We start from the raw sequence: 10,228 nt of genomic DNA on the forward strand, positions 1-10,228 counted from the left end.
AACAAACTATTTTTAAGAGCTGCTAAACTAAATTACTTAGTTACATGGGAATACAAAGTTATCTTAGTTTCTTGGTGGTCTTATATTCAGTCGTGTGTAGCCTAGCTGAAGATGAACTTGGAATGTGAGTACTCATCCATGAGGGAAGCAAGGCACCCTGAATGGTTTCCAAGTTCAGTCTTCATGCTTTTTAATAGAACTTGAACTTTACAAAACCAAAGGAAGGTTGAGCTTCTATCTCCAGTCACTTTACTTTTCACTGAGTGATCACTATCCAACTATTAATTTCCTGGCAGTGCTGTGATAAAACATTCCATCCTATATTCACGGCTCACATCAGGGAAAAATATATTTTTAAAGATATTATTGACACCTTCTGCAAATTTCCAGGGGATTTTACTCTTGGCGGCGTACTTTTATGGATTTATCAACACAGTTTTTATATAGTTGGAATAGTTGAATCTTACAAAGTAGAGAATAAATTATTCCTATACCAGCAATAACAATATGTAATTTGCAAAAGATACAATTTATATTAACATTATCAAAAGATATAATTTATATTAACACCAAATATATTGCTAACTGTATATATTAGTATGAAGCTATATATAAGTATTAAAACCTAGTATTTATAATGTATGTGTATATGTGCTTGGGTATACATATTGAGCATGTGTGTGTGCATATGAAAGCATGCATGTATATGTGTGTGCCTATAAAATACAGCTAACAACTGAGAAAGAACAATTTGAGGGCTAGGCATGGTGGTTCATGCCTACAATCCCAGCACTTTGGGAAGCTGAGGTGGGAGGATCGCTTGAGGTCAGGAGTTTGAGACAAACCTACGCAACATAGCAAGACTCTATCTCTACAAAAAAGTTTTTTAAAGAAATTAGGCACACATGGTTGTGCACGCCTGTAGTCCCAGTTTCTTGGGCAGTTGAGACAGGAAGATTGCTTGAGCCCAGGAGTTGGAGGCTGCAGTGAACTATGATTGCACCACTGCAATCCAGACTGGGTGGCAGAGTGAGATCCCATATCGAAAATAAATACATAAATAAATTAAGGAGAAAACTAAAATTCTATATTGTGTGGCATTGGAAAAATTAAATATGGCAAAAGTATGAAGTAGTCATGTTTAAGAAAATCCTCCATCTTTAACATAATTGTAAATCCCAAGTACGTGCTATCAGATTCCCTACAGATTTCCCTGTGGAACTTACAGAACATATTCTCTCACATAATAAAGACCAGTGCCTTCTAAGGCACGGTGTAGATTTTGTTGCATTATTTAAAATGCTAAAATCTACATGTCGCTGGATTTACAACTTGAGGCCAAACACGATCCAATTTCTATTAAGCAGACACATCCTTGTAAGATGTGAAAACCTCTGGGAAAACAATTGCATTTGAAATTCTTGCTTCTGCTGGCTGGCGTGGTTAGGAGTGAGTTCAGTTTTTCTGCAACAATTATAGTGCATATTTTTACAATTGCCTTGTTTGTAGCTATTGAGTGGTAGAACAGGGAGTGGAGTGTGGCATACATTTGAATCTGCCTATGGGTTTGAGTGTTTGTGTCCCCCTAGATTTGTATGTTGGAACCTAATCTTCAAGGTATTAGGAGGTGGGAAATGTGGGGGGTAATGACGTCATGAGGGTGAAGCCCTTGTGAATGGGATTAGTGCCTTATTTAAAAACACCCCCTAGAGCTCCCTCGTCCCTTTCACCATGGGAGGACACAGTGGGAAGGCACCATCTATGAACTAGGAAGTGGGTCCTCACCAGACACTGAATTTGCCACGCCTTAATCTTCAACTTCTGGCCGTCAGAACTGTGAGCAGTAAATGTCTGTTGTTTATAAACCATTCAGTTTATGATGTTTTTGTTATTGCAGCCTGAAGGGACTGAGACATATGGGGTCCATCTATGTCAACTAGAGGACATACCTCTCAGAATTCCAGCTTTTTAAAATCATAGCAAATGAAAAAATATCCATAAATTTTAGTGATTCTAGAAACTTTTCTGGGAATCTTACCTAGAAAGTCAGCATAAAGTCTGCTCCTTCATTTGTCCCACTAAATTTATACACCATTACAATCGCTTTAGGATTAGAGTGGATCTATTGTCTTTAGCTGAAACAGGAACAGAAAACAGTCCTCTGAAGATGAATGCAAAGATCAGAACTTGTCCAAAAGTGTGCCAACGGTTCCAGAAATTGTAGTAATGAAGACAGTAAGGCGAATACAGAGGGATTAAATATTGACAGCTCAAATGAGAGTGATTAGAACTAGAACTAGGAAACATAAAAACATTTCTTTGAGAGAAATGCAATTACCAAACAGTGGGGCAAAGAGAGATTATCTATCAAGTAGTGCTGGGATACTAGGAAAAAGCCCAGTTTCACATTTCAAAAATTCACTTCTAGAGAGATCTTAAAAAAAGTTCTTGTGCCTTCCCATTTATTTGCTGGTATAGTCTCACAATGATATGGCCAGTTATACTTATGGGAAAAAATAATATTGGGCCATCGTATATTGACATGAGTAACTATTTTCACCTCTTCTGCATGGACTATCTATATATTATATATATATAAAAAACACATATTTATATATATAACATATATATTTATATATATAAATATGTATTACATATATTTATTTATATATATATATATATATTTTTTTTTTTAAGAGACAGGGTCTGGCTCTGTTGCCCAGACTGGAGTGCAGTAGCAAAGTCATGGCTCACTGCAGCCTCTACCTCTTGGGCTCAAGTGAGCCTCCTGCCTCAGCCTCCTCAGTAGCTGAGACTACAGGCATGAGACACTGTGCCCAGCCAAATGTTTCTTAAATAAAGAATAAAAATAAATATAAATAAGTAAATAAAATGATTAAGTTTTTATATTAAAACTTGAAATGCTATTCATTAACAGCTGATATTTGCAACAAAGATTTAGGCTTCCATATGTCCCAGTTTGTTCAGAAATAATAGTGTATCCTTTCACTTTCAAATATGTTTCTTTTGGGTTATAAATAGTTTGACTAACCTAGACATAAACATCAAAGGGTAAATATCTGAAATACATTAAACACTTCAAAACTCGATTGTAAAAAGCCATAAAATAGTATTTGAGTTTCAGTGCTACATTTCAAAGACAATAAAATATTTATGACCAACAAACAAAATACAATCAACCTCATTTGTAACTTGAAAAATAAAAACTAAACTGTAAAACCTTAACATTTTACACCTGTGAGATTGCAAATATTTAGAAATCTGACAATAGGTATGAAATCTCTCTTGAAGACAACAGAAACTCACATACTGTGAGTCAGTGTGTGTTTTGTTGTGATATCTTTGTGGAACAATTTGGTATTCATTATCTGAAAAGTAAAATATATCCTAAACCCATTCTTTTGCCTTCTGGCTATGTTTCCTAAAGAGACATGTAGAATTATGTTCTTATCAACATTGTTGATGATAGCCTTAAAATGGGTAGAACTCACCTTGTAACCACCTGAGAGGTTCTTCCTGCCCACTGCAGAAAGAAAGACCATGACTTTGTAGTAGAGAAAGAGTTTAATAGACACAAGCCTGGCCATGCCACGCGGGAGATGGACTCCTGTGCAAATCATCTCATTCAAAGCTCCTAGGTTAGGGTTTTTTCGAGGGCAGTTTGGGTGAATGGGTGGGGGTGGCCATGTAACAGGAGCCTGCTGCTGATTGGTTGGGGTGGAGATGAAATCATAGCGGGTTGAAGCTGTCCTCCTGTCTGGCCAAATTACTTCTGGGTGGGGCCACAGAAGGGGGTTGTTGGTCCATGTGGAGCCATGGGCGTCTGAAATGCAAAAATCCTGGAAAGATATCTCAAAAGGCCAATCTGCAATGGTGTTTTATTTGCAGGAGTAATTGGGGAAGTTGTGTATCTTATAACCTCTGGAATAATGGCTGACAACCTTTTATGTCTGCAGGACTCAAGCTCCTCTCCTCTCCCCGGGCTGATGGCCTCCCATCAGCTTTACAAAAGTGGGTTGGGGCAAGGCTTATTATCATTTAAACTGTAGCCTAAGTGTCTTCCAAAGTTAATTTGGCCCAATAGCCCAGGAATAATTAAGGGAAAGGCAAGATGGGGATTGGGTTGGCTTAGCTTACTGTTATAATTTTCTCACCGATAATAACTTGCAAAGCAGGTTCAACACATCTGTTAATAGGTGGGACATTAACAGTAACTAAACTGTGTGTAAATGGGGTATCTATGGGGGAGCCTAAGATATACCATCATCCTAAAAATAAGCTTGTGACATAGTGATGCAATAAAGAGAAATGAAGCAAAACTACATCTATAAGTCTGCGTGTGTCTCATAGACAAAGCTTATGGAGAAAATCAAGTTCCACAAGAGGGTATGCAATGTGGAGCAAAATTGTGTAGAAATTGAGGGAATGATAAGTACATAATTCCATGGCATGATGTGTGTGCACTGGAAGTAGTTTGCTGTGGCTGCTCTAACAAATTGCCACGAACTTGATGTCTTATAACAAACGTTATTATCTTACAGTTCTGAAAGTCCAGAGTCCTCAATGAATGTTGTTGGGCTGAAACCAGGGTGTTGGAAGATCTGGGTTCTCTCTGTAGGGGAGAATCTGTTTCCTTGCATATTCCAGCTTCTAGAAGTTGCTGCCATTCTTCTTTTCATGGTCCCTTCTAATGTCTTCAAAGCCAGCAACATTGAGCTGATTCTTCTTCTAACGCCTTCTTCCAATTTTAAGGATCATGTAGAACCCACCTGGGTAACGCAGGATAATCTCTTTATTTTAAGTTTAGCCTGTCGACTTCCATCTGCAGCCATAATTCCCTTCATCATGGGATATAACATACTCAAGTTCCAGATAAAATGATGTGGGCATCTTTGGGGATCATTTTTCTGCCTATGACAGTGTATTAGTCTGTTCTCAAGCTGTTAATAAAGACATACCTGAGGCTGGGTAATTTATAAAGGAAAGAGGTTTAATGGAATTACAGTTCAGCATGGCTGGGGAGGCCTCACAATCATGGAGGAAGGCAAAGGAGAAGCGAAGGCATGTCTTACATGGCGCAGGCAAAAAGAGTGTGTGCAGGAGAACTCCCCTTTATAAAACCACCAGATCTCATGAGACTTATTCATGTCACGAGAACAGCACAGGAAAGACCCACCCCCATGATCAATTACCTCCCACCTGGTCCCTCCCACAACATGTGGGAATTGTGGGAGCTACAATTCAAGATGAGATTTGGTTGGAGACACAGCCAAACCACATCAGACAGGGACTGGAATGAGAGGTACTCTTGATCATAGGCTTTGTCATAACAATTTATATTTCCTTGATCTTACAAATATTTGATAAAGCATTGTTAAAAATAAAGAAGATAGTATATTTTTTGTTAATTTCTATTTACGGCAAGGTAGAGAGATTATTGTTTACAGTAGTAATATGAAGTTTATTTCCAATAAAATATATAAGAAATAATTCTAATCTCAATGAGATTATTGTTCACTTGGATGTAGTATAGGGGTTTGTGTGTGTGTGTGTGTGTGTGTGATGTTTACTCTGGAAGCTTAAGGGTTTTCTTCTTTATTCCTGATTTAATGAAGTTTCACAAAATTATGCCCAACTGGCTTGATTTGCTTTTTTCTTTGAATTTTTTTTTTAACTTGCACAGTTCCAATTGAGCACTCTTGGTAGAACACCTGTCTTTCCTCAGTTGTGAGAAATGGTAAATTATTATTTCCTTTGATACAGCATATCATTTTTCCTTTATAATTTTCCCTAAAAAATGGGGTTCAAAAATCTGGATATAAATACCATGTGTACTAAAATGTATTATATATTTTTTCACATAAGATATATTATATATAAAGTATATATTTTATATAAATTATATATATATAAATATATCAAATACATGTAATATCTAATATATGTAAAGTATACATAATGTATAAAGCATATGAAGCTTCTAAAATGTGTACACACACACACACACATACACACACAATGTGTATGTTTATATGTTTTGGGACAATTCCTCAGCTCAATTTGTGAGGTTATTAAATTTTTCTATTACTCAGTACAACCTGTTCTATAGTACCCTTCTTGAGATTTTATTTCCACATAGTTAAAACAAACACACACACACACACACACACACAATCAACAACAGAAGGAAGTGAATTCTCCCCTAGAGCCTCATGAAGTTCTGTGGACACCGTGATGTTAGCCCAGGGAGGCCTATTTCTGGCTCCTATATCTGTAAAGAAATACATTTGTGTTGTTTTAAACCATCAGGCTCGTGGCAACTTCTTACAGCAGCAATAAAACAACCTGACACAATTACCAGTGCTCACCTGTATAAAAAATAATATTGTATAGCACATTAAGGGACAATGATAGGGATACTGATATAAATTTGCCAACAATAGCTACTTTTATAATAGAAAACATCAATAATAAAATAATGCAAAAGATTAAGAACAAAGTTAAATGCTGGATTCCTGTATGTCCAAATTAAAATCTACTGGAGGCTTCCCATGACAAACTGGATTTCATGTACACAGCTTTTGTTACATCCAGTTTAACACTCTAAGTGGATATGCACCATAATGTATCAAGATTTTAAAAATGGTAATGGCTTCAAATTATAATCACGATCAATGGAGTTTTTTGGTATCACATATGCATTTAAAAAAAATCAGTGTGTATTTATGCAAGTATTTGAAGACTGTGCATTTGGTTGTTATCCCTGAAGTCTCTCCCTCCTGGTGCCTTTGTTTTCTGTGCATTTCACGATTTTTTGGCATGATAGCCTATGATTTGTCTTGCAATTGTTTCTGTGGGATTGTGTCAAAGCCTATGGGAGCATATGGATTTGCGTCTGACAGGGGCTGGGGACACAAAGTGTGAGGTCACTTTAAATTAATTTGGCCGGGCGTGGTGGCTCATGCCTGTAATCCCAGCACTTTGGGAGGCTGAGACAGGTGGATCACCTGGGGTCAGGGATTCGAGACCAGCCTGGACAACAGGGTGAAACCCCATCTCTACTAAAGATACAAAACTTAGCTGGGCATGGTGGCACATGCCTGTAGTCCCAGCTACTTGGGTGGCTGAGGCAGGAGAATTGCTTAAACCCAGGAGGTGGAGGTTGCAGTGAGCTGAGATCACGCCACTACACTCCAGCCCAGGCGACAGAGTGAGGCCCTGTCTCAAAAAAATAATAATAAATAAAAATTAATTTATATATAAAAATTCTGGGGCCACAGAGTAATTGTCTATTCAGGCTAAAAATGTACTGCCTGGTGGTTATGAGCTTGCAAGGGTAGATTATTTATCCCTTCTATTGACAGCCGAGATTGCAGATAGGCAATTTTCTTTGCTATCTTCGTGAGAGGGCACATTTCTAATTCACCCTTCCTGAGGTTGAAATGCTTTCAGGGTCCACATTTGTGAGAGTTTTGTATTAGATGCGCTACACTGACTAAGTGTGGGACTTTATGTTCTTTCCCTTGCACTTCATAAGGCTGTGAAAATGGAAGCTCAATTTCCCCACATTGGAGCATTGTGCATTAGTTGAGTGCCAGTTAGTTCTTGTGTCTTGGATTTAAAAGATTTAGCCTGCTAATTCTTTTTTTATTATTATTTTTTGCAGTCCATGAATTGAAGATTTGTTGTTCATTCCATACTTCGTGTTTGCCTTCATCAGGTTGGCATATGTGAGAATGCTAACAAGGAGAGTTCGTAAAGAAAACAAAATGTATTTTAAAACATTATTGATGGAAACAAATTCCCTTTTTTCTCACGCTGTCTAGATGTAAGCATTTAAAAAACATGTATAATTGATGTGTGTATGTGTGTATTTGGTGTGTTATTAAAATTAATTTGGGGTCAGGCGTGGTGGCTCACACCTGTAATCCCAGCACTTTGGGAGGCCGAAGTGGGCCAGATCACCTGACCAACATGGCAAAACCGCATCTCTACTACAAACAAAAAAATTAGCTGGGCATTGTGGCACATGCCTGTAATCCCAGCTACTTGGGAGGCTGAGGCAGGAGAATCTCTTGAACCTGGGAGGCGGAGGATGCAGTGAGCCGAGATTTTGCCATTGCACTTCAGCCTGGGTGACAGAGTGAGACTCTGTCTCAAAATAATAATAATCAAAAGAAGTAGCTCAGTAAACATCAGGTTACTTCAGGTCACTTTTCTTGTAAGGTTTAAAGCAGAGAGGACTTATGCTGACTCAGGTTATCTGGGCCCTTTCTGATTAGTTGCTGTGACTTTCCTATTCTTGAGCAAAACTAATTGGTTTGGGATTTTCCAGCTTCCCTAAAATTTCACTTTTGTTATTTGGCACTTAGCATGAGTGACTCCATTTTAATCTGGTCTGTTGGGACCTGGTATAGGAGGTCAGCCCAAAACAACCCCCTTCCATAAATTTTATATAATGATTCTGTTAGATTAGCTTGTGTGAGTTCTGGGGGGTTTTGTCGTTTGTTTGTTTTTTGAGATGGAGTCTCACTTTGTTGCCCTGGCTGGAGTGCAGTGGTGCTATCTTGGCTCATTGCAACCTATGCCTCCTGGGTTCAAGTGATTCTCATGCTTCAGCCTCCCAAGTAGCTGGGATTACAAGCATACACTACCACACCCAGCTAATTTTTGTATTTGTAGTAGAGACAGGGTTTCACCATGTTGGCCAGCCTGACCTCAAACTCCTGACTTCAAGCGATTCATACACCTCGGCCTCCCAAATGTTGGGATTACAGGTATGAGCCACTGCACCTAGCAAGTTGGTGTGAGTTCTGTTTTTCTGAGTGGATCATGACTAATATACTCTCTATTTTTATTAAATTAAAAGCTAACTTAAATTTAAATTTTATTTTACTTTGGATAACTTCGCATAGTTGATTGATTACTAGTAGAAATCCCTTTGTGCCCTGGAATTAATAGGGCATATGAATTCCAAGAGCCCTTCATTCCTCACCAGTGACAATTACTTGTCTAGAAGAATGATATGTCAGTTCAGCAATTTTCCCAGAGACAAGATACTTTTGTGTAAATAATGGGCAACATTAGCATTCTAACCTATAATATTTGTATGTCTAGAAATCTTTGTTTCCAGATTTAAGTCTTCATGTAAACCCAATAAAAGTTACACTAGCATAAATTGTTCATTCAGTTTTTCTTAACAAATGTGTTATTGATATTTTAAGAATTATAAATTTTAAGTGAGGGTTTTAATATTAGGATTATGGTACCACCAAATATTGAACCAAAAAAATTCCTTATGATTGTTGAGCTAATTCATTATTTAAAAATATATATATAACTCATGTTATGTCTTAAGACTCAAAGTTGGATTAGACAACTCAATTTCCCAACAAATGCAAGTTAATTTCCTGAAGAAGTTATCCCAATAGACAAAGCAGAATAGAATTGTAAAATATCACCTTTTATTCACATTAACATGTCTACTTGTCTGTCAGTGAAAAGAATAATGAAATTCTTTCTCTTTCAAGTCTCATAGATATTCAAAGGATATTGTCAACTCTCCGTTTCTATTTCGTACCCCCTGCCACTGTGTAGTTATTGGCAATGTTGATATTCTGCCATGGAAATTATCTCATTGGCTCATGCATACATCTTTTCTCATATCTTAACATGAGTAAGTGAGTGAAGCCCTAGACCACAAAAATAATTAAATTTAAAGAAAAAAATTCATCATATACATTAAATCAACACTATTCTAAAGCACATATTTTAAGCATTATTGGCAGAGATTTATACTTTAAATGTTGCCTAATTCATTTCAGTTCCAGAGTTGCACATTGAAATTTAACACTATAGAGGAAAACAAATCACAACACAAATGTCTGTGATGGTTTTTAATTTACAAGTGTCTGTCACATGCCTTATGTTTTAAACATGAATGGCATTCACGTCTTTCACAATAGATTTGTCTATTTCTTTTATGCCTCTCATGAGCTTGCAGCATATTGGAGAGTAGATCAAATCTTAGTTGTTTTTATGGAGCAAGAAAACTTGACATTCTACCCTTGTTTCATCTAAAGTTTCAGGAAGATCTGGACAAGTCTTGAAGTCTGTTGTGTACAGTACATGTGGATAAGTAAGAAATTTTCTGGAATTATGCATTTTGTTGGAGGAATATTGAGCTGGTTCAGAAAATCAATATCAG

General features: G+C 37.2%; 1 non-coding gene across 1 annotated transcript; it reads left to right on the top strand.

Annotated features, from left to right (window-relative positions):
• Nucleotides 1-2,454: 2,454 nt before the first annotated feature.
• On the top strand, nucleotides 2,455-2,584 carry LOC124900497 (small nucleolar RNA SNORA20). Its single transcript, XR_007068427.1, has one exon. It is a non-coding gene; the product is annotated as a small nucleolar RNA SNORA20 (small nucleolar RNA).
• Nucleotides 2,585-10,228: the final 7,644 nt, after the last annotated feature.

The sequence above is a fragment of the Homo sapiens genome, chromosome X (genome assembly GCF_000001405.40).
Source record: "Homo sapiens chromosome X, GRCh38.p14 Primary Assembly".
NCBI classification, from domain to species: Eukaryota; Metazoa; Chordata; class Mammalia; order Primates; family Hominidae; genus Homo; species Homo sapiens.